The following is a 26,446-nucleotide window of genomic DNA, read 5'->3' as shown; positions in this document are numbered from 1 at the left end:
TCGTCAATCAAAATACCAAATACACTTTTGAAGAATATATACAATTTTTTGTACCACATATTTTAAACTATAAAGACACACAGTAGGTACCAATATCAGTTTCCATTTATTTATTTTTGGACCTTTAAGATTCTGACTATATCGTCTCTCTCAAAACCCTGGCCTCAGACGATCCACCGGCCTTGGCCTCCCAGAGTGTTGGGACTGCAGGTGTGAGCAACCGTGCCTGGCTGTCATGTAAAACTAAAAAAAAAAAAAAAAAAAAAAAAAAAGATTCTGTCCACAATTCTTCACAATGTGGCTTAGAAAATCACTCTTATCCAGTATGTACTTTCTTGTCAGCATACTTTCCTTGTTATTCATTCAGCACATGCTAACTAGTTTCTAACTTTGCATCAGGTAATGCACTGGTCCCATAGGATATGGAATACAATGGAATGTCAAGTTCATGCTTCAGAAATCTCGATACAGTGAGTTAATTTTCGTCTAAGTACTACTTCCAGTTATACTCATTTGAATGATATCCATGTACCACCTTGTTTATTCCTAACCATAAAGCTATAAAGTAAATATTATACATATAGACCTTATAAATGAAAAGGTAGAATAATTCATGTTCAGATAACACATGTCCTGACTCCCAAACCCATTCTAATATGAAGGTACTCATTCAAAATGTCTCTGGCTATGATCTGTTGTTGTTGTCATTTCTTTTTAAGATTACCCCTGCCAAAATGATTTCATCTTTCCTTGGTCTAAGTTCTCATTTTACTTATTCTTTAGCTTGATCAAATATTACATTATATTTACTAAATGTCTACCATGTGCAGGAACATAGTATTCTCCATGGTACACAGATTGACTTGTCATCATTAACTTATTTAGTAATAGATCATATGTTCACAACAAAATTAAGTGGAAAATAGAGATTTTCCATACACTCCCTTCCCCACACTTGCATAACCTCCCTTATTAACAGTATCTCCCACCAGAGTGACACATTTGTTACAAATGATGATGAAGCCACACTGACACTTCATTATCACCCATAGTCCATAGTTTACATTAGGTTTCACTCTTGGTGTTATACGTTCTATGGGTTTGGACAAATGTATAATAACATATATCTACCGTGAGAGTATTATACAGAGTAGTTTCACTGTCTTAAAAAGCCTCTGTGCTCCTCCTGTTCATCCATCACTCTCCACCAACCTCTGGCAAATACTGATTTTTTTACTGCCTTCATAGTTTTGTCTTTTCCAGAATATCATGTATTTGGAATCATACAGTACATCACCTTTTTAGATTCACTTTTTAAATTTAATAATATGCATTTAAGTTTACTCCATGTCTTTTCATGGCTTGATAGCTCATTTCTTTTTAGTGTTGAATAAGGTTCCATTGTCTGGACGTGCCACAGTTTATGTATCTATTCTCTTACTGAGGGACTCCTTGATTGCTTCCAAGTTTTGGCAATTATGAATAAAGCTGCATCTTTAAAGTAAGTACTTTCTCCTATTGTCTTAAGCAAATGGTTACATATATTGTTTGAAATATTTCAATATATAGACTGAAATATTACTTCAACCTCCAATCTGTAATAAATAGGTGTGTTACAGAACACAAAGAAAGAGAATACCAGCCAGAGTGTTTACAATATGAGCTCCTTAAAGCACAATTGTACCCGATCATCGACCACTTTGCCTTTGAACTGATATCAGGTAAATGCATATGAAGATGCGTGGATACACACTCTTCTAGGTACACATTGTTATGTCAACCAGCATTCCCAACCTGGTAACTTCTTGGCATCCACATAAGTTACTAAGATCACTTATTTTAGTATATGAAGTGAAAAAAGAAAAAAGACAGTCTTTCAGCAAAGAAGCTTCAATTAATTTAAAACACACAATAATGGGCTCTAAAATAACAACTGCATTTTAACCAGTAAGTTCATTAAACATTTTCCCAAACTCATAACCATTATTTTGCTTAGTCAGATGTTTTCTCAAAGGAGAGTTCATTCATTTTAACTGCTTAAAATACATGATGAATGAAGCAATTTACTTTTTTATTTACATTTTACCACTGATAATATTTTATTAAAAACACCACCACAAAAGAGCACGTTGTGACTTTAATCAGTGCTTATTTTCTAGGGCAAGGCTTTGTTTTATATTTAAAACTGTAGAGTTATGTTTGTGAATTACACATAATAAGATGTTCCTAGAAATTATGAGAATATCCTATGTTAAAATTAATATATGTCCATTGTTTAATATAAACATAAGAATAAATACAGATTAGTGATGTCTGTCATGCAATATTTTTTAAGAGGCAACTGAAAATTGCAATATTTGGAATAAAGATAAATTATATTGTATTCAAATGAGATGGTATAGCAATGAATTTTTTCTTATTTTTTCAAGTTTGAGAACAGATAAATAAAAACAGATCATCTGAGATTTCTAAAGCACCATTATCAATATCATTCTTATTTTCCCAAAAATAACAGTAATCCTACATTTTTTTTTTGGTTTTGTTCAGGAGAGCGTAAAAAACACATTCATATTGGCCATTATTGCCTAATTAGTTCATATGCACATGCAATTTCCTGTTACCACCCAAAACACTTACAAAATCTGAAAAATACATATTTTATTATTACTTGTAAATTATTGAAGAAAGATAGATGAGTGAATAACTAAACAAAGACAAACCAGGGTATTGTGAATGTAAGATTTTTAAAATCACATTTTGAGTGTAGCTCATATTCATTGTTTTTATGTTAACCTTAATTTCCTATTAATTGGAAATTTCTTGGATGATTTTCTTGAATTTTCCAAGTAGATAAATGTATTATCTGTAATGATGAAAGTCACGTTATTTTAAATATCGTACCTCTTATTTCTTTAACTTGTCTTGCCGAATGAGGTAAGCCCTTAGTACAATCCTGAATAGCAGTTTTGAAGGGGGCAGCCCTATCTTGTTCCTGAATTTAATGGTAATGCTTATAATGTATCTTAATTAAAGTGACACATGCTGATAATTTCTGGTGAATAGCTTTAAAGTCAAGGAAATTTTATTTTTATTCCTAGTTAGCTAGGAGTTTTTTAAAAAATAAAGAATAAGTATTGAGTTTTATCAACTTCTTTGTAAGATTTATTAAGGTGATCATAGTTGTTCTTTAAGATGTTTATGTGAGTAATTATATTAATACATTTTCTGATATTAAACTGAGATTATGCTATGATAATGGTCATAATGTATGATTCTTTTTAATAAACAAGAGTATCATTTTAATAACACTATTTTACTAGATAATGTTGTGCTAAGGATTTTTACATCCATCTTCACATAAAATTAACTTTCCTTGAGTATTTTTCTCGCCCAACTTTTAAATTAGCATTATGATAGTTTCAGAAAATTTGCAGAATAACCTCTCCTATCTAGGTCTCTCTCCCTTTCTATTTCTCTCTCTCATTTATTCTCTGTTCTAGAAAATTTACTTAACAGAAAATTATTTGTTCATTGACATTTTGTTAGAGCTAAGCCATTGGGCTTGGTGTTGTTGATAAGGATATACCCCTGTCTTCTATTTATTGTTGGCTATAATTGTTGGCCTATTTGGAATTTGTATAGATATATTGAATTGGTGATTTCAGTTTTCCTAGAAAATAATTCATTTTAACTGTATTCATATTAGCGTAGAAATACATTTATATAAAGCTGTCTATATTAATCTTACACTTTTTGAAATATCTGAAACTATACTTATGTATCCCTTTTTTCCACAGACTACTTGGTCAGACTTTCCAAAGGTTTATCTTGTTTAGTGGTCTTTTAGGGAGAGCATCTTTTTGTTTTATTAATAAATTCTAATGTGTATTCTGTTTTCTATTTTATGTACTTCTAATTTATTTTTTACTTTTGAGTTTTTCTTTGTTAAACTTTTAGTTCATTTTATTTTATTTATTTATTTAATTTTATTATTATTATACTTTACATTTTCGGGTACATGTGCACAACGTGCAGGTTTGTTACATATGTATACATGTGCCATGTTGGTGTGCTGCACCCATTAACTCGTCATTTAGCATTAGGTATATCTCCTAATGCTATCCCTCCCCCATTCCCCCACCCCACAACAGTCTCCAGTGTGTGATGTTTCCCTTCCTGTGTCCATGTGTTCTCATTGTTCAATTCCCACCTATGAGTGAGAACATGCGGTATTTGATTTTTTGTCCTTGCGATAGTTTGCTGAGAATGATGGTTTCCAGTTTCATCCATGTCCCTACAAAGGACATGAACTCATCCTTTTTTATGGCTGCATAGCATTCCATGGTGTATATGTGCCACATTTTCTTAATCCAGTCTATCGTTGTCGGAGATTTGGGTTGGTTCCAAGTCTTCGCTATTGTGAATAGTGCTGCAATAAACATACATGTGCATGTGTCTTTATAGCAGCATGATTTATAATCCTTTGGGTATATATCCAGTAATGGGATGGCTGGGTCAAATGGTATTTCTAGTTCTAGATCCCTGAGGAATTGCCACACTGACTTCCACAATGCTTGAACTAGTTTACAGTCCCACCAACAGTGTAAAAGTATTCCTATTTCTCCACATCCTCTCCAGCACCTGTTGTTTCCTGACTTTTTAATGATCGCCATTCTTACTGGTGTGAGATGGTATCTCATTGTGGTTTTGATTTGCATTTCTCTGATGGCCAGTGATGATGAGCATTTTTTCACGTGTTTTTTGGCTGCATAAATGTCTCCTTTTGAGAAGTGTCTGTTCATATCCTTCACCCACTTTTTCATGGGGTTGTTTGTTTTTTTCTTGTAAATTTGTTGGAGTTCACTGTAGATTCTGGATATTAGCCCACTGTCAGATGAGTAGATTGCAAAAATTTTCTCCCATTCTGTAGGTTGCCTGTTCACTCTGATGGTAGTTTCTTTTGCTGTGCAGAAGCTCTTTAGTTAATTAGATCCCATTTGTCAATTTTGGCTTTTGTTGCCATTGCTTTTGGTGTTTTAGACATGAAGTCCTTGCCCAGGCCTATGTCCTGAATGGTATTGCCTAGGTGATTTTCTTCTAGGGTTTTTATGGTTTTAGGTCTAACATGTAAGTCTTTAATCCATCTTGAATTAATTTTTGTATAAGGTGTAAGGAAGGGATCCAGTTTCAGCTTTCTACATATGGCTAGCCAGTTTTCCCAGCAACATTTATTAAATAGGGAATCCTTTTAATAAGAATACAGATTTTAAGATTTATATTGTCATAACTTTCTAAGATGTTTATAACTAGAAAGTGTCTAAGTTGAACAGATGTTACAACACCCCTCTTTGACACACACAATCTCTATACACACACTGTTGTTTAAAGAGGTTTACATTTACTATTTTTTTTTTTTTTTTTGAGATGGAGTCTCACTCTGTTGCCTAGGCTGGAGCGCAGTGGCACGATCTCGGCTCACTGCAACCTCTTACCTCCCAGGTTCAAGCGATTCTCATGCCTCAGCCTCCTGAGTAGCTGGGACTACAGGCACCTGCCACCACACCTGGCTAATTTTTTGTATTTTTAGTAGAGACGGGGTTTCACTGTGTTAGCCAGGATGGTCTCGATCTTCTGGCCTCGTGATCCACCTGCCTCGGCCTCCTAAAGTGTTGGGATTACAGGCATGAGCCATCGCGCCCAGCCTATGTTTGCTTTCGAAACCTCTCAACATTCTTGCTGTATTTACATAGGCCCCAAATTAATCTCATGGGGTTCTTTATATCATATACTACCACTCAACGTCACAGAAATATATCACTTGCCTCAAGATTAAAAACCATAGGAATTCATACAGGGGATATATTGGATTAAGAAAAGTATTTGAGATACAGCAAAGGTATAGAATTACATACATGAATTTATACCAATTTTATAGATGAGAGGGCAATTTGAACTAGTTATGTATAAGGACAAAATATGTGGATGAGAATATGTTCACCCTTTAAAAAATTCCTCAAACCTACACAAATTTTGTCTTTGCCCTCAAGTTACACATAGTTTAGGGAGTGATGTGTTTCCATGTATAAGGCAGTTTTGAATTGTGAAATTTATGTTTCTTGAATGATATGCTACTGATAGCACTATTTCATCAGACATTAATCTCCTATTATTGTGCTTTCAATGGTTAAATTCAGTTGAAAATTAAAAATTAAATATCTTTGGGATTTCTAATGAAATGGTAGCTACCAGTCGGTGATAGTATCTTCCAGACTTGGGGAACAGAACTCTGATGAGAAGAGATAGAATTATACAGATATTTCCGGGTACTAATAACTTAATTCTTATCTTTCTTCAGAAATATATGAAGTATTTTTAGTGTTCTAAACAATTATCAAAGTTGCCTTTGAATTCTATGACTCTCATCTTTACTTAACACTGGGAGTCATTATATAACGATTAACTATATGGCTAAACTCTGGATTTTGAGAAGGAAGAAACAACTCTACATGAGACTCACTGTCTTAATATACACTTATCTTAGAAGAAAGAAGGCAAGATTAACTGGAGTAAAATACCAGCATATCTTTGTGCAGTTATCAAGTAGAGACGTGGAAAGGCAAAAATCAATTCCTCTCTTAGGATGGAGTAAGAGTGCTTCCCAGGGAACACTTGTGTCTTCTATATCCAGATTATTACCTTCTCCAAGACATCACCTGCAGTCCCTCATCCTACAGTGCAAATAAACACCGAAGCCTCCTCACCCTCTCCAATCCTGATTCCTGATGGGAGGGAGAAGAGAACCACATCACCTGAGTCAGTGGTTACAGTTTAGATTACTTTGCCTCAGGATTTGGATTTTTTTTCATACTTCCTTGTCACTATCTATAGGTTACATAGTGTTCAGAAGGTAGAGAAGAGCGCCTTTATATTTTAGTGTTTGCAAATCATAATGAATGCTACATGAAAAATGAAAGTAATCTGTTTGTGTTTATGGTTACCTCTATTCAGCATTTCTTGCATTTGTTGGTATGCCAATAACACTTCATGATTCCAGTGTTCATCCAGTTGATGTTATTGGAATCTGTGCTAAGGATACTTATTTACTGTTGCTCATACATACAGTGATTTCTACTTATTTTTATAAGTGAGCAATATAAACTCAGAAATGCATTGTTTTATTTACCTAGTAATTTATTCACTCAGCCAGTTTCTCACAGTGTTAGTTAAGGTTATGTGTGCTCCCTTAATAGAAAAACTATGAAATCCCTATGGCATAGCACAACAGAAGTCTCTTATTCAATAAGTCTAGTGTAGGGCTTCAGAACAAAGTGTTTCTTCTGATGTTAATTTCCTTGTCACTTGCCAGCTGACTGCTAAAACAACGCAACCTATTTTAGGCTTTTTGTTATAACCTAAGGTATCATTTTCAATAATAATAACAATAAGAATGCTAGCTGCTGTAATAGATAAACTCAAGGCCCTATGGCTTAATATAATGCCAGAAGCATGTAGAAATTAATAGAAAATATATATATTGTTCACTCACACAACTGTCTCACACTTATTCTTCATGGCTTGACTTCTACATTGTGATTTTGTTATCTTTCATCTTTTAGAGTCAAGATTATTGACTTTTGGAATATCTGGAGTCAAGATTATTATAGAAAGGAAAAAGTGGAGAGACAGCAGACTCACTTTTTAAACCCATTAGATCAGAATGAACACACATTGATAATGTTAATTTTCCACTGGCAAAAATTACATACATATCCCAGGTGTTCTATGCAAAATTCTGCCCCCAACCATAAGATGGTCAGATCCTCTGAATTAGTGTACATGGTCAAAGGACCTTTGCAGATGTGATTAAGAGACTAAATATAAAGAAGATTAGTCTGGCTTATCCAGGTGAACCCAATATAATCATTTCTTTATATAGGAGAACCCTCCTGGCATGGTCAGAGGGAGGTATGACTATAGAAGAATGGCCAGAAAGATGCAATGTCGCTGGCTTGGAAGCTGGAGGAAGGAGGCCACAAGCTTAAGAAATGCAGGAAGCCTCTAGCAGCTAAAAAAAAGGATGGATATGGGCCGGGTGTGGTGGCTCATGCCTGTAATCCCAGCACTTTGGGAGGCCAAGGTGGGTGGCCTGAGGTCAGGAGTTTGAAACTAGCCTGGCCAATATGGTGAAACCCCGTCTCTACTAAAAAAAATACAAAAATTAGCCAAGCGTGGTTGTGCACGCCTATAGTCCCAGCTACTCGGGAGGCCGAGGCAGAAGAATCACTTGAACCCAGGAGGTAGAGGTAGCAGTGAGACGAGATCATGCCACTGCACTCCAGCCTGGGTGACAAAGTGAGACTCCATCTCAAAAAAAAAAGGAGGGTTATGGATTCTCCTTAAGTTTCAAGAAAGGAATAGAATTCAATCAGACTCTTTGATTTTTAGCTCTGTGAACCCATAAAAGAACTGTAAAGATAATAAATTTGTGTTGTTTTATAACAGTGAGTGTATGATAATTATTAAAGCAGGAATAGAAAACTAAAACACAGATGTTCTAAACCTTGCTACTGCTGGTATTTTGGGCAAGAAAATTCTTTGTTGTAGGAAGCTATTGTGTGTACTATAGAATGTTTAGCAGTATCACTGGTCTATACTCACTAGATGCAGATGCCAGTAGCAACCCACCTTCTTCCAAGTTGTGACAACTAAAAATGTTTCCAGAGATTGCCATATATCCCTGGGGTTAAAATTATTCATGATTAGGAACCACTACAGGCAGTGGATGGGGCAAGGGAAGTAGTCCATGGCCACACAGTTACCCATCACTCTACAATAACTCTATACTACGGAAGGGTCAGGAACTTTTGGTGATCATCTCTACCATACTCCTACAGCAGATATTTAAAGAGAGCCTGCATTAGGGCTAACAGCCTATGTTCTTCATGATTTTGGGTTTACACTGGTGAACAACATAGCTTCTGTTCCCATAGAGGTTAAGATCTATAGAGGGGATAGGAAAAAAAACAACAACAACACAATTTTATAGAGAAAATTGCAAAAAGTGGTAAGTGCTATGACTGAAATGGAAAGAGTACAGTTACAGAGATTTTTCAGGGGGAGCCGCATTAGCCAGAATGATAAACCTGAGATGAAACATTTTGTCAGGGGTCTTATATAAGAAACAAATCAGGAGAATTACTGGTGAGGAGAAGGAAAGAATAGCATTTCAGAAAGATATAACAGTATGGGGAAAACTTTGTACTGAAAAAAGGAAAAAGCTTGGCTTGTGTACAGCAATGTGTGGGTAAGTGGATCTTATTTAGCAAAAGGGAGAATTACATGTTTGAGATATGAAAATCAGGTCAACTCCAGATAATACAAGTCTTTGAAAATTTTAAGTTGGGTGTGGTGGACATGCAGATGTCCACTCAAATCCCCTTCAAGGAAGGACTTGCTCCAGCTATTGCGAGTGGTGTCCACAGAGAGCTTTCAGCTGCCAGCCCCTTCTTCAGGGATTGCCTCAGCTGCAGAGCAACACCGCACCGGAGAGCATGCCTATCTGCGCCCCCTTCATCCAATAACTGAACAAAGCAGATGTTAAAGGCCAATCATTTGGACTTTTTTCTCTTCCTTTTTTTTTTTTAACGTTTACAAGGTGATCCTGAAAGAACTTTGACATGGCATATTTTCATATGCGTTCATTGCTAAACAAATTCACCTGAAACATTTTGTTCTAGAACATGATTCTCAAAGTGTAGTCACTGGATTAGTAACATTATTATCAGATGTAAACTTATACAACTAGTGAGCGCTAGTCTACACTTACTGAGTCAACATCTCTGGTGGTAGGGTCTAGCAATTTGCCTTAACATACCCATCAGGTATTTCCAGTGTTGTTAAAAGTTCGAGAACCACTGGGACAACCTTGAATTACTATTGTATCTTCATCTATTTCTGAAACAACTAGTGAACCATATAAATTTTTCTAAAACTGAGGCCTATGGGACTCTTGTTAATAAGAATAATATGGATCAAACATTCTGATAAATGAATTCCTTACTCTCCTTCTCGAAAGTGGTATAATGTAAAAGATTGAACAATAGTTGCGTGTTAGTGGCAAAACTACAAATAACCAAAAAGTGCCATTACCCAAATACATTCCCAGGTAAGTGCATTGAATTGGGAAATGTTCAAATGCTTCATAGATACTCTGATTTCTAGAAATACAGGATCTGTATTTTCTAAATATCAGTTTTGGCAGCAAGAGAGGATGAATAGATAGATATCAGAAAATTCAAATAATGTAAGTATATAAGTAAGCTTAGTAGAAAAAAAGGCAGATGAAAAACTGAATTATTAGTAGTATCAACAGCATCAGCACTTACCCAACTGGTTTTATAAAGCCCAATAATATGTCTTTCATAACATAAACAATGTTTTTAAGCCTTCCTGGGGATTTTTAGTTTTATTCATCTTCTATAAAGCCAATTGACACTAAAATAATTTATCATCTTACAAAGAAAGGTATACCTTGCTTTCATCCCATTCACTTGAAGGTATTTTCAGATTGTGGAGCAGCAGTTCTTAACTTCCAATCTGTCATTATATTATAAAGAACATACAACCATACTCTTCACCACTAATGCATACATATCACGTCAAATTAATATAAATATAAGGATTTTAAAAGTAGACCATTGAAGAAGTATGCTGGAAACAGTATAAATTTAGGTCTCAAACAGGAAGCTCAAATTCTAATGCTGTTGTTGTATTGAACAAGTCAATCAAATATACCAAGTCTCAGAAGCCTCTACTACAAAATAGATTTCATAATATCTATTTTGTAAAGATTTTGTGAGGATTGAATGAATGTACACAAGAGGAAATAAATGTTAATTAATATCTGTAATAGGGAGGTGGTAGTTGAAACAAACTGCCCAACTACAGTAGGTAAACCATTAAATATATATTTCTCATGTCTTTCTGATATGTTTAGAGCTTGCCTCCTAAGAAGTAACTCAGAAATCCAAATTACTCTTATACTATGGCCCCACTTTTATTTATCTGGCAGAAATGGAGAGAGTCTTTAGTGGTAGTCTCTATCTACATAAGTATCTACCTCAACCCAGAAGTGACACACATCAATTCATTTCATATTAATTTGGTAAGAACTAGTCACATGGTTAAGTTTAAATGCAGAGTATACAGAATGTCTCTGGCTTGACAGCTAAGCATGAATGAGTAGGAGTCAGCTAGCTATCACTGAAACAATTTAGCACTTACTTTTTCCTTTTACTTCATTTTCTTGGCCATGAAAAGAGAATGTTGCATTGAATAGTGACAAAATTAAAATTATATGTTTTTTTTCCCTAAAAAAAGAAAGTTTACAATTTGCTCCAATTCTTTCATTATATTTCTTTCATTTTCTAATTTTCGTTCTTTCCAGTTCCTAGGGCCAGGCCGCATTCTATTTTCTCTCTTTAACCTTGGAAGCTAATTATCAATTAACCCATACAAATATCAGAAGTAGGTAAAGTGTTCACATAGTACAACTGAACATATTTTATTAGACTCTACAAGAACTAAAGTTATGTTAGAATAAAAAACATGTATTTTTAAAGATGTTTTATTAATGTAACAAGTACTAGTATTTACTGAGAGATTATTCACAGGCAGCAGAGTGTATCTGAAGAGTCTTAATTCAAACCAGGTAAGCGATTGCCTGCCTCCAAAAACGAATCCTAAAAAAAATGTTCATCTCCAAGCAGAATATGGAAGGGAAATTTAACTACAAAATGATATCATAAAAATATTTTTGAGTAACATACATTATGCAATGTGGGGGCACTTTACATTTTTTTCTAAAATAAATACAGCATTTAAATATTATTATTTATTTGGAAGGAAACTATTCTGAAGGACACTAAAGAGCACAGAACCTGGATACTTTGACATTTTAAATTGAAAACCTCAAAAATCTGTTTTTATGTAATGGTGTCCCAAAAATGTTAGGTAATACAGACTAGAAAAAAATACTCAAACAAGCCCAATAAATTAAAATTATGCAATTTTAAAAGTCAATATCTAGATATGCTTCTTTTTCTGGTGATTAATTACAGATTTTGTCAAATACAAAACAAAAAGTTAACATGACAAGTTTTGAAGAAATTAAGATTCAAACACTGTTATAAAAACTATTTCTGGAATCTCAGTCCCAGTAATTAACTGCTGGAAAACACACACACACACACACACACACACACACGCAGCACCCTACAACCACATAAATCACATAGGGTGAATCATGCCAAACACAGATGAAGACTGATTTAAACAAGAATAAGAACATTAAATGGAAACTGCATGTTGTGTTGATATTTAAAAGGTCTTAGCAGTCCCACATGCAGGTTAAATCCTCATCTGTGGCATGAAGGAGCACAATTATTTACTTATAAACTGTCTGCTTACATACAAAGATCACATAAGTAAATTTCTGCATTATGCTGCAAATGTCATGCAAGAAATAACAACTGTCTGATTGATATGCAAAATGTTTGCCAGGATGGTGACAGCCAAAGTAAGTTCAAAGTCACAGGAAATGTTGTCATCAGCCTAGTGTAAAAATGTACAATTACTTGCTATTCTCTTTCTGTTTAAAGGTGACTACTACTGTCTTTTCCCTAGGCTACTTGTTCACTGTAGCTTATTATCATTACAAAGTATTAAAATGGATTAGCTTTTCCATATTGTGTTCATATTGGGAAGGGCATTTTTAGACAGCTCACTGACAAGATTTTTGAAAAAAGCATTTATTTCTCCACTAAAAATTACCAACCAGTTTGTTTTTGAGAATAAAAATCTCTAAACTGCATGCTTGCAAATTCCTCTTTCCTGAAAATTCACTTAATATAAAGAAATCAGAGAGAAGTGAGCAGTATCTAATTAATATCTTCTAATGCCCAACTAATGTCAAGCATGACTCCAATTTATAACTGAACTATATTTTTACATTGAAAAATTCAATTACATTTACTGACAGACTTTGAAATGCCACATTATTTATATTGGCAAACTTTGCAGGCTCTCAGTGTATTTATCAACATTCTTTCCACAGAATAAAGCATATATGCAATACAGATCACTGCATTCTTCATTTTTTAATCTTTCAAAGTGATATGTATATCTACCAGAGCAGCAAGGGGCTGCTTCAGCCTAAGAGAGCCAAAAGACCAAATAGAGGCAGACGTAATAATGTGCCCTTCCTTTTAATTCTCCAGGCAAAACAAGGTAACCTTGACATTTCAGTATCCTCTCTGTCTCCTGCTTCCCTTTCTCATCCTCTTTCTCGGGTGCTTGCCCCCCAGTCCCTCTGCAGTTCATCCCTGTTCATACATGCGTTCAGTACAACCACAGGGCCCTCCGTGCACACATCAACAATTCTGAGCTGTGAAGAGGTTCAATTGCCACATTGGTGACTCAGTTGCAATGCACAAATCATTTACTGGGATAGCTTGAGGACATGACAATGACAGAGAGACATCTGTTGGGTAGATAGGAGGGGAAAAGGGGGTTATTCACAGCTGGTGCATTAGTCCTGCTAGCCACTAGGCCACCACAGTGTCCTCGGTCGTCCGCTTCCTTCTCCGACTTGCTGCCTGCGCCCTGCTGTCAGCTGCCAAAAGATATCTGTTCTCACCCTTTGCTGAATGAAAAGGTGCTAATGCATGACTTCAGGATATGTCAGAACATACAGTACTTACAAGTGTTTGGAGATGCAGGCAACCTGACCATGGGGAAAGGAAATGAGTAACTAAAGAGTGATTTTCTTGTAAAGGAGAGGAAAAAAATAGTCAAGAATAGTCAAGGGTTTTTCTTTTTTTTTTTTTTTAACTATACACTGGGGGCTGGGATGATTGGGAAGTAATCTTCTTTAGCTTCAAGTCATATCTCCACTTCTCTCTCCCTCTTCAAGATATCCAATATATTTTGCAATCCATACTGACCAAAGAAAAAACATTTTCTGCAAAGCGGTCTTGGTTTATATTTTTGTAATCTGATCTTGGCAAATATACCAATTCGCATAAAAGATAAATAATTCAAAATTATTATGGAATTACTTTAGGAATACTAGTTGACAATTTTTTCTTCCTTTAATATTCTAAAGAGGAAGAGATAAAATTAGAAAGAGATTGAAACAGATATTCTACTTTCCCCGTGGTAATAGCTGTAATCAGATGACTCATTGCCATGTATTAATCAAATGTTTCTCTCTCCTCATATAACACCTAGAATGTAGAATTCATTCATTCACCTCTAAGAAAAAGGAATTCCCTTTGGTACTGATGAAACCTGAACAACTCCTTTAACATCCAGAATTCGCATCCAAATCTTCAGCTGGTTTTTGAAATCTGATAGTCCAGATGAGATTGGAGGTTTATCAAAAAACAAACAAACAAACAAACAGAAAACTAAGTTACAATGCTGGATAAACGCTACAAACAATGACACATATGCTACTAGGAGAGCAACATTTCCCACAAAAAAGTCACAGATCTAAAATGCAAAACACAATTTTAAAAAACCATATGTAGCATAAGTAAGAAAATTTTATGTTGAGCAACAATGCCTGCCAAATATAGCACCACACAAAGGGTTATCCTCAAGAGTCTGCTCTCAGGCCTTGAAACACAATTGTCAAATATCATCTCAATTTACTGATTAGTTTTTACCAATTTTCATAGCATTCTTACAGCTTAGTTGGTAGAAAGAAAAAAAACAAGTTTGAAGAGTTTAATTAAGAAGTCATATTATCAAGTAAACTGAGGTCAAATGATCCCTTTTAAATTAAATAATATGGTCATCTGCACACCTTCAATTTTACAGGGAAAAAACATAAGATTTGCTTCTTCTGAAATGATAAACAACTAAAATCAAAGGAGTCTTTGTGCAAGAGTTTAATCCACTAGTTTTGAACCTTAAAAAGAAGTGTAATTTTCATGTATAGAAAGCCACATTTTAGTCCTATTTTTGAAAGTTTAGCAAAGCCATCAAATGTATTCAATTTTTTATTTTGATTATTTTATCTATGTATTTCTAATTTATTGAGTATTTTTAATTTTGTATATCTTTTAACAGAAAAATTGAAAAGTGATAGTAAATATGAGACTAGTGTGCATCTATCTGTACATTATGCAAAGATGGGATTAAGCTATGCAAAGAAATGTTAATCTGCTAGGAGGACTTATAAAAAACAACAAAATAGCTGTTTTAACAGTTTCAATATAGTAGGAAATTGGCTAAATTGCTGTTGTTATTGTAGTTGTTAGAAATGCCTTTGAAACGCATTATCCAAGACTCTTGTAACCGAAATAATGAATTCACTTTCACCATATACCTCTGTTTATTAAGAAAACTTCTAATAGAAAAATAAGTTCTTTGTAGAAAACTGAAAATTATTTATATCAGCAACACATTCTGTGATGCTGCAAACAGAAGAAAAATTTAAATTGTTTTGTTACATTAATGTTATTGTATTACAAATTAACTATATTTGGATGAATAAATGCAATAAAACATGTTCTTTCCTTTTTAGTTTTTTTGAGACAGGGTCTCACTCAGTCACCCAGACTGGAGTGCAGTGGCTAGATCATGGCTTGCTGCAGCCTCCTTGACCTCCCAGGCTCAGGACAGCCTCCCACCTTACCCTTCCAAGTAGCTGGGACCACAGGTGAGAGGATAATTATACACCAGGCTTGGATAATTTTTTTAAAAAACTTTTTGTAGAGATGGTATATCCCTATGTAGTTCAGGTTGGTCTCCACTCCTGGGCTCAAGTGATTCTCCCATCTCAGCCTCTTGAAATGCTGGGATTACAGGAGTGAGCCACCGTACCCAGCCAAGAAATTTTATCTAGAGAAATGTGAAATACAAAAGCGGAGCCTTATCTAAAATATGCAGTATTGTTATATATAAATCTATTATATGTTATATAAAAATTCAGTTTTATTAGTGCTCTTTATTATGCTTATTAAAATGACTGACAGCTTTTATATGTAGAAATTTGATTTAATGTAATTATTAACCTTTTATTAGCTTCAGCTTTCTATCTGTACATTTTGTGTTATTTGGAATTAATGATTCCTTTGATGATGAATATTGATCAATTCTTTTCCAGTTTTGCTTGCTATATGAAAAATAATAAAATCATTATTGATGTGATAAAATCTTAGTTTGCAAATACTTCAATGTCAGATAACTTTGTGGAATAAATACTTCGTATTTATTTTTTATTATAAATTATAAATTATTTATTTATAAGTATATCACAATATACTTTATATTTTTGTTGTATTTATACTTTCCTAAAAAATGAAGATTATTTTCTTATTATATCTAGTATACAACATAATTTCATTAAATAGAATGTTAATTGCTTTTAGAAGAAAATCATCTCTGGGTTAAAATTATACCTGGCTGTGACACATACTTGTACCTAAAAGATTGGTAAGTAATAATATTTTCTTACTCAATTATTGGATATTACCACAACGAGGCATGATAAACCAAAGAAGATAGTTAAGGGAATTAGTAGAGATAACTTAATCTCCTTCCAAAAGCTACTTTAAAGCAAAAGGATATCAGTACTATATTAATAAAATATGCGAATTTCGGAACTGTCCACTTCTTGTTTGCCTACCATAATTCTTTGGTTTTATCATTCCTGTCCATTCTTAAAAGCAAACTAGGAGAAAATATAGATAACTTAACATAGGTATCTTGTAGGACATTGAAACACACACCAATTTGAATATATAAAAGAACACTGATAAGCTTAAATGAGGGAAAGAAACTCCTTTGCAATAATTCAGAAAAAACGCATGTTGGGCACTGTTCTTGGCTCTATGTATGTTCATTAAAACCCAGGCTTAGATAAAAGTTAAGACATAAAAAAAATGAATCATACAATTTTCTTATTACACTATTTCCTTATGGTTGATGACTATGTCTATATAACGGGTATTAGTTTCGTGTCCACAAATTGTACATTCAAATTTTGACAACATGATCTTCTATAATTGAAATAATCATAAATGCTTTTCTTTTATGTCATTGCTTTCTGAATGGCGAATGGTGAAGCGCCACATCAAGACATTTCTATCCCATATGTAGAGCATGACTCCTCATATGTGGCAACTAAGGGGTCAAAATTTCAGCCTGCCTTTCTTCTTACTGAATATAGAGCTTGCAGGCTAAAAAGTCTTACTGTTGGGTAAATTAATTTTTTTCATGCGTTTAGATTCTAGCTACATTGTTTATAGTTATTTGTAGTCTCCATAATACATTTCCTCTGCCTTGAATAGAATAGGTTTTGAATAAATATTTGCCAAAGAAGCCTATTGAGAGGTGACAGCGTCCTGACAGCATGCTGGCAGCCCTCGCAGCCCTCGCTCACTCTCGGTGCCTTCTTGGCCTTGGTGCCCATTCTGGCCACGCTTGAGGAGCCCTTCAGCCCGCCGCTGCACCCTGGGAGCCCTTCTCTGGGCTGGCCGAGGCCGGAGCTGGCTCCCTCGGCTTGCCGCGAGGTGTGGAGGGAGATGCACAGGCGGGAAACGGGGCTGCAAGTGGCACTTCCAGGCCAGCTAGAATTCTGGGTGGGCTCCGCAGGCTCCGCACTCCCAGCGGCTGGCCAGCCCACAAGCCCCAGGCAGTGAGGGGCTTAGCACCTGGGCTGCAGGTGGAGCTGCCTGGCAGTCCCACGCCGTGCACCCGCACTCCTCAGCCCTTCTCGCTGGGCCTTAGCTGCCTCCCCGCAGGGCAGGGCTTGGGACCTGCAGCCCGCCATGCCTGAGCCTCCCCCCTCATCCCCCTGCGGTGGGCTCCTGCACAGCCCCAGCCTCCCGGACAAGAGCGGCTCCCTGCTCCACAACGCCCATTCCCATCCACCGCCCAAGGGCTGAGGGGTGCGGGCGCACGGCGGGGGACTGGCAGGCAGCTCCACCTGCAGCCCCAGTGTGGAATCCACTGGGTGAAGCCAGCTGGGCTCCTGAGTCTGGTGGGGACTTGGAGAACCTTTATGCCTAGCTAAGGGATTGTAAATACACCAATCAGCACTCTGCATCTAGCTCAAGGTTTGTAAATACACCAATCAGGACCCTGTGTCTAGCTCAGGGTTTGTGAATGCAGCAATCAACACTGTATCTAGCTAATCTAGTGGGGATGTGGAGAACTTTTGTGTCTAGCTCAGGGATTATAAATGCACCAGTCTGCACCCTGTCAAAACGGACCAATCAGCTCTCTGTAAAACAGATCAATCGGCTCTCTGTAAAATGGACCAATCAGCAGGATGTGGGTGGGGCCAGAAAAGGGAATAAAAGCAGGCTGCAGGAGCCCCAGTGGCAACCTGCTCTGGTTGCCTTCCACAGCGTGGAGGCTTCGTTCTTTTGCTTTTGGCAGTAAAACCTGCTGCTGCTCACTTTTTGGGTTTGCACTGCTTTTATGAGCTGTAACAATCACGGTGAAAGTCTGCAGCTTCACTCCTGAAGCCAATGAGACTACGAACCCACGGGGAGGAAAAAACTCCAAACACATCCGAACATTAGAAGTAACAAACTCCGGACACGCTGCCTTTAAGAACCGTAACACTCACCGCGAGAGCTCGTGGCTTCATTCTTGAAGTCAGTGAGACCAAGAACCCACCAATTCCGGACACACTATGACAAATATTTATTCAAAATATTTGAAGCCTATGCAAGGAGGCCTGTTTTTCCAAAGTTAAAACTTAAAGAGACAGTTATAACCCTCAACTGAATTCAATTATTCCTTCACACTATTTACTCTAATGTCAGGTTTTTTTTCAAGTTAAACGTTAAGCTCAAACATTACACAGGTAGATTTACGATGTGACAGACTTAATCTCATTTCAAAAAAAGCAACAGATCACATCTCTATGTTATTTTATTGAGATTGCATATGCTGTTGATTTTGTGTTTGTTTGAAACAACAGTGGAGAGAGAGGACAGCAAAGCCCTTGCTATTACTCGCTCATAATACTTCATGGCTACATCTGCGGTTGACAATTTTCTGAAAAAAAAAAAAAAAAAACATGGGATACACTAGCATTTAAATGACATACTAATGTTCCTATGGCACAAAGAATCTCTGGCTTCATATATTTAACAAAAGGAACAAATAATCTTGAACTTATTTCTAACTCTTGCCTTGACTCATTACAAGAAACAGAGTTATGTGGCAATATGCTTTGGGAGAATGAAAAGCATCTTGATTTTCCTATCAATAGATGCAAAAAGTGTGTTTTTTCAAATGGCATGAAACATGAATAGAAACTTTTGTAATCGTCAAGTGGCACCATTCTTTAGTTTGGGTATGGCATATGTACTGCAATCATCATTCAAGTTAATGTAATTCATCCTACTAAAAATTTCATGAATTATGTGATTTATATTATTTTCTAAATGCTAGTATCTTCTGAAAATCTATTCTTTAAAATTTCCACAAATTTTAATTCCAATCAATAATCACTTAGTTAATAAATTTCCTTGATTAGTAAAACTTAGATTGATTTTATCATGACAGAATCTTTACCATAAGGCAGAACTCAGAATATCTTATAAAGAAAATGTAAACTGCTAGACACAAATTTCCACTTCAGAGTAGCAGCTTTTAAATACAAAAGTCTGGTTTCCTTGCAATATTTGTATATATTTTTAAAATTTTAAGATCTGAATTATATCTTAGAAATTTTAAGATAGGAATTATCTCCTGTCAACTCCACAAAATTATTGAAAATTTTAGCGTGTACTCCAATAAGTACACTATGTTAATACCTCACCTCTCATTGGAAAGCATGCAAGACATCATGACTAACTTTGTGGTTTAATGTGACTCAATGAAATGATGATTAAGCCACCTGCCATAAAATCTCATACAATTTTGCTACTAATAAGACATTAAAAATGCATGTAAACTGTACCTATAGATTTCTAATATTGTCATTACTAATAAGAAGAAAAAACAATCTTATTTATGTAAGTTATTCAGGAAGTTACAGACAAGATTAAAATGTAGTAAAACAATTTTTCACCAACTTTTAAAAAGTTCTCTTGGTGTAGTAGAGGTACACAGCTCTAACTATCTATAAGAATTTGAGTTGATATAAAATTCATAGTTAACTATATCAGTATTTTTATCAATGCAATTTTGATAATATTTAAATGGCCAAAACTAATCACTGAAACCAAAGAATTAGAACATAGGCATTGAAACTAGAAAGAAAGGTTTGCTAATTAACTTCAGTAAGTTATACGGGAGAAATGATAACAGAATATCCAAGAAAAGAAATACATGATGTATAATTTTGAGTGTTTTGAAATAGTAACCATATAAAGTCAGACATTTGAAGTAAAATGATTAATGCCAAGCACTATTATCATCCAATCTACTGGAAAAAATTGTGGAAAAAATCTATTCATTCATCCATACATTAATTCATCTTATGTAGATTTTTTCTTGATGCAAACAAAAACATAATGCTTCCTAGTCTTTGAGATGAAAAGAGTTTTAGGTGGAAATATAAAGCTGAGAACCATACCATAAGAGCAGAAGTTCAGATATCACAGGTGACTAAGAAAACCAACAAAGCGTTTTCAGGGATGAATGTTTTTCTTGATCTATTCATCATAAAATGTGCTACTCCAATAGCCCTTTCTAAAGAAAACTGTCCTACACAAAGCCCTTGCTAGAGGGGCAGGCCAGCCTGTGACTTCAGCCTTTCTCCTGAGTCATAGGCCAGCCTCCTTAGGCCAGCAGGTTGTATGAGCTGATTGAAGAGAAGTTAGGAAGTATAAGGATAATTGGACAGTTTGTGAGAGACAGGCGAATTGCTTTCCACAAATACAGAGTACAGGCCATGGTAGTTTATAAATAAGCTAAAACTGAGAGGCAACTGAAGCCATGAGCTAGAGAAAACATGTAGACTACAGGGAAAAGAAATCACTTGGCACAGGGAAGAGTAGACACATAGAAGTAAACACCAACAGAGTTAGCTAAATTTCATCAAAGATTAACCATTAGTGTGATGATTCACGAACTCCTGTGCTCAGGCCCAGCAGAGAGTCCTGGATCCAGTCTTAGATGTAGTAATGCCTGGTCCTGCTGTATTTTTGTCCTTCCCATGGGATCTCTGGTCCTTTTGTGACAATATCTGTATCCTCCCTTCTTGAAAAACCTGGTAAGCCCTATCTCTACATATCCAAAAGAATCTCACTAAAATGCCTGTTCAATGCCATCCAGAACATTATCTTTGAATATACTTCTAACTTTTCTTTTCTTCTCTATCTTACTAGATACTCACTTTTTTTCTATGAAAGTTTATATGCAGATCCTGCAGCCTCCATATATATAATGGATTCTGCCCTCTAACTTTCCCTGTGTTCAGTGACGGGATAGGGGGAAATTGTTCCACTTTGAGTCATTAAAGGAGACCTTTTATTCTGCTAAGTGTGCTGACATTCTTTCCCTTTCTTTCCTGTATACCTTCTCCTCTTGATCTTTTTATCTGAACTATTCATTCTCCTTGCTCACAGTCAACCTGATTTCCTTTTTATATGCAACCTTCAAGTTAACTGAGAATGAAACTAATTAATTAGCATGCTTGATTTTCGATCTTTAGTGTCTTCCAACAAAATATAAGTGGCGTTGATATATGAAGAGATAGATATATTAACCACCTTTATGTGCCGTTGAATCCTTTTATATTAATTACTACTCCACCTTATGTTTTATTCATGTATGAAAATTGTTTGCATTAGCACATATTTCCCAATAAAATTATAAATAATGAAGGATAGAAATGCTTTATTATGCCAAATGAAACCTACTGCTGCATTAACTTATTTTTGTTCCAAATTTAGTAGTTAATATTAATAGATATATACTCTATCTCTTTTCAAAGCGAAAACATACAAATATGTACTAAAAATGTTCAAAATGTTTTTGCAATGGTATAGAAATTATGAATTTAATTTATAATTCTGAAAGCCAATCAATAGTCTTATCAGGAACACTTTTAGAATTTGTGACTCTGTGATGTGCCAATATTGTTAAGATAATATAATTGATTAAGGAGGTAATGTACAGACAAGGGCTCTATAAACTTTATAGTGCTATCAAAATATAAAAGATCAAACTATGTCTCTTTTTCTGAATATATGACTATAAAAGCACAAAATAAACAACCTGTAGTAGCTTGCTATACCCAAGACTTCAGAAACAAAGATAATATCTTGAATGTTCTTTTTTAGAGAAAAAGAATGACTAGTATTCTCACAATCCTGTAATCTTCATATTTTTAACATTCAGACTTGTAACACACACTGTGTGTTTCTTCACAAATTCTAATTAACAACTTAATCGAACAGTGCCTTTCTAGATATGTGTAAATTGTGTGGTGATCCGAAGGTAATACCCTAACATTAGTGGGTCTTCCCATAGTCTTTCGCAGCATTGAAAGTAAGATTGATATATTTACTTGCATGAATGCTTGCCAGGGAACTCAGCCTAGGTATTTGGAAATATTTACCTATGATTTGGAGACTTTACTGAAGATACACCTTGTCACTACAGTGTTCCATGACAAATATCAGGGATGTATAGTAGTGAGGATCCTCATGTTGGAAGGGAAGAGCAGTAGTTGCTGTTCTGTGCTACATTAATCTTGAAATTTGTTTTAATCAACTGACCTTACTCTAGATTTCTGAGGGTTAGTTTTCCTTGGGCTTGGACAACAATCTGACTTCCTGTTGTTGGAAAAGAGAGGTGAGAAATGATCAAAAGAAAACAGTAACAGACTAGTTTGACCAAGCTATACCCAGATTATGATGGAAGACTAGCAGTCCTCTTTGGGTTAAAGACAAACATCTGTTTTGGGGAAACTTTATAAATGTTGTAAGATATTATAAAATGATAAGGGATATTTATATAGAAGACAACACATGTTATGTGAAGGGAAATGGACCTTGATCTGTGTTCATAATCTGGATTCTGGCATGCACAGATAAAACTGATGAGTACTGCACAAGGGAGTAGCAGAGGAAACTTAACTGTAGGGAGGGAGAAAACCCCTGCCGATATGGAGGGTGGGCATGACTGAGAAAGTCAGAGGTCCTTAAAAGTACTGTGAGAGTTGTGTTGGATCAGTCCCACACCTAGAACCCTTCTCCCTGATAAGGAGAGACTGAGTTAAGAATTTAAAATTTTTGTCATAAAGGCTGGAGCTGTGAAGCAGAGGCAGTGTCCTATAAGAAAAAGACTAGTCATTGGGAGAGAGGAATCCCAGAGAGCTGTTCTTTACAGTTTTGTTTCTTGTTTAAATTCGAGAACTAAAAATCCAGTCCCAGAGTGCGTACATAGTCAAAGCAAACATGGAAAGTTCAGAAGTTATGCAGTGAACCATCAGAGCCTATTAAGAATCTAATCTTTCTCCAAGTAATGTTGGGGTCAGGCAGCTAACTGCAACCTAGCCTTTGGTTTAGTTACATTTTGATGTCTCAGGACCTCTCAAAAAATTTTGATCTGCCATGTTTTCTCCATATCCCTTTATGTCTCTCCAAGATTACTAAACTATGCATAATAAAATGTCATTATACTTGAATTGCAAAAATTGGAAAGATTCATAATACCAAGTGTTGGCAAAGATATAAAACAACTAGAAATTGAATACTTTTCTGGGAGATTGCAAAGTGGGTCAGTTATCTTGAAAAACAGTTTGATAGTTTTGTTTTAATAAAGTTAACCATATACTTACCATACAATCTATCCATCCTAATTCTAGACATTTCCCAAGATAAGTGAAAACATGTTTACACAAATACCTGTAAGCAAATATTCATAATAACATTATTCTAAAACTGGAAGAAACGAAAATGTTTATGAACTGATGACTGAATAGACAAGTAATGGAGTATTTGTACAGTGGAATACTACTCAAAATAAAAAGAACACATTAAAACAATGTGTACAAAAACATGGATGAGCCTCATAAACAGGGTGCTGTATAAAAGAAGTACTCCATAATTCCTTACACATTAAGGTATACCATCTTAGAAACAGTACAGCTGTAAAGGCCAATTCTTACATGTCCTTAAACTACCCTTTGAACATTATACCTTCCTCTGACACCAGAGTCTAAGCTTTTCCATTTATTCTGCTTTTGCCAATCTTTCTCTCCTGGATCAATATCTATCATCTTTTAAAATCAAGCCCAAATGCAAGATCCAGCCTTTCCTCAGTCGCCCACATGTTTCTTTACTCTCGTTATTAACCTCTACAGCACCATTATAGCGTCAGCACTGGATAGGCAGGCTCAATTCTTGGCAACAAACATTTAGCTCACTTCATTGTGATAATTTGCTCTCTCCAAGAAAGGACTCCTCAAGATTAAGATCTTCATTTGCTTTTTCTCTGTATCTCCTGGTTCAGAGTGTCCTGCATAGAGTGAGCATCCAATTAATCTTGAATGTGTTATGTTTAATCCGTTTTGTGCCTTTGTGATTACTCAAAAAGATGACAATATGAACCACATACATATAAAACAATAAAGTTTTATAGTGATGATTATTTTTGTTTTTCTGTATTGATCCTAGTATGTAGCAGGGCTATATTATGAAAGGTGAGTTAACATGAATTTTTCTTTTAATGTTAAGAATGGTGCCCTTCACATTACAAGCTATTCCAAAGTTGCAGAGAAAAAATAGGTCTTTGAAACTTTCTAGAAAATAGCAGATAGTTTATTTAATTACTTTAGTTTTCCTTTAGCTATTATTTCTTAAATATAATTGAAAAATGAGTTAGCTCTTATACTTTTAAGAATATATACAAGCTATTGTACTAAAATGTTACTGTATTAAGTAACAAGAGAAAAATAAGTAAAAACAAATGAACTTAATTCTAATACTGACAGAAATATTGGAAAGTGGAAATAAACAGTTTTTCTGTCTAAACTCTTATAAAAACCTTAGTTTAACTTATATTTAACAAATCTAAATAGATTTAACAAATTTAACAAATCTAACTTAGATTTTTAGCAAGGTACAGCTCCCCTGTAGAAGCCATGCTCTTTCTGAAGAGGTCTGAAGCACAGCATATTAATAAAGGGATTCTACGAGTTCTTAGCTCCTTTGCTGTCCTCTCCTCTTCAGCCTATATATAGTTAGGTTTGTTAAATGTATTTTTACTGAAAAATACATTCAGTAAGACTGATTGATGTAATCGACTCTAGCATGTAGATAGGGAGAAGAAATGGATTTATCATTAGTTTAGAAGGCTGTCTGGTATTATAGATTTACTAACAAAAAGTACAAACGATGCCTATAAAAATACTTAGATGTTTGATGTTTGAATAGTTGCTCAAAATTTAAGATTCAGTAATAAAGTCAGCTCAGAAGACTCACTAAAATATGAAGAGTAAACAGTCTGACCTGAGAGCAGTAGACTTGGATGATTTTATGAATAGTTTTGATGCCAAGGTAGGATGCACCTTTTATATTCAACGTTAAAATGTGAGAGAAAAAGTAATTAACAAAATAATGTTCACTGAAGCCTGAATCAGAATAATACCCTTAATAAGTACAAATTCTAGAACTGCAAAAAAGGATAATGCTTGAGAATGTGACGGGTGGGATCCAGCACTTCGAATACACATAGAATTAAAATCTTTAGTATAAATTTGTCTTAAGATATCAAATGTGTCTGATACTAACTAATATCTATTATATCCAAACTATTCAGACATTAATTACAAGTTCTTAAGACCAAGGTCTTATGTAGTTCTGTCTTAAAGAGTCTCGCAGAGTATTTTGCTGGTAATAATCACTTGATAAGTGTTTGCTAAATAAATTATTCAGTTGTACTGAAATTTGGTTGTTTGAATCATGCTAGAAATAAATGGGTTATCTCACAGATTGAAAATATTTTGTTGTAGAAAATTATCTATTATAATATGGCCTATGGCATTTTGTTTCAATAAGTCTTCTGAAAACATTATTTTAAAGGTCTACGTTTATGTAGGCAACAACTAGAGTAATTCTCTGCATGAGTGTTTCCATGTGAGAAGTTAGAAGATTAATTATATGTAATAACAGATTGGTGAAGAGTAAAAGGAAATTGGAGTAATTTAAATGAAGACTGAAACCCTAAAACCATCCTTAACAGTACTTTACAATATATAAAGGTAGAAAATGGTGATTTTATTAATTTTACTGTGAAAAAGTAACATGACTAACTTAGAATATACTGGATGTAAGAAATATATTTCTTATTATAAGTCACAAGTTGCCAACAAAATGAATTCTGAAATTAATCTCTGAATTATTCATAATAAAGATTTGTATGTTTTGTTATTATGGAAGCAGTATCTTTTCATGTTATATTT

At 34.9% G+C, this 26,446-nt stretch overlaps 1 long non-coding RNA gene across 6 annotated transcripts in view; it reads right to left on the bottom strand.

Moving 5' to 3' along the window:
* Positions 1-26,446, bottom strand: part of LOC105379080 (uncharacterized) — a 166,831-nt gene that overhangs the window by 98,100 nt on the left and 42,285 nt on the right. Inside the window, exon 3 of one of the 6 annotated variants that reach the window (XR_001742808.2) lies at positions 18,647-19,080. The exons of the other annotated variants lie outside the window; for them this stretch is intronic. This is a non-coding gene — a long non-coding RNA (uncharacterized LOC105379080). Of the gene's footprint in view, positions 1-18,646; positions 19,081-26,446 lie in introns of those variants that run through there. 6 annotated transcript variants of the gene reach the window in all.

Source organism: Homo sapiens, chromosome 5 (assembly GCF_000001405.40).
Source record: "Homo sapiens chromosome 5, GRCh38.p14 Primary Assembly".
NCBI lineage: Eukaryota > Metazoa > Chordata > Mammalia > Primates > Hominidae > Homo > Homo sapiens.
Note: the sequence above shows the minus strand (reverse complement) of the source record. Positions and strands in the feature narration are given on the sequence as shown.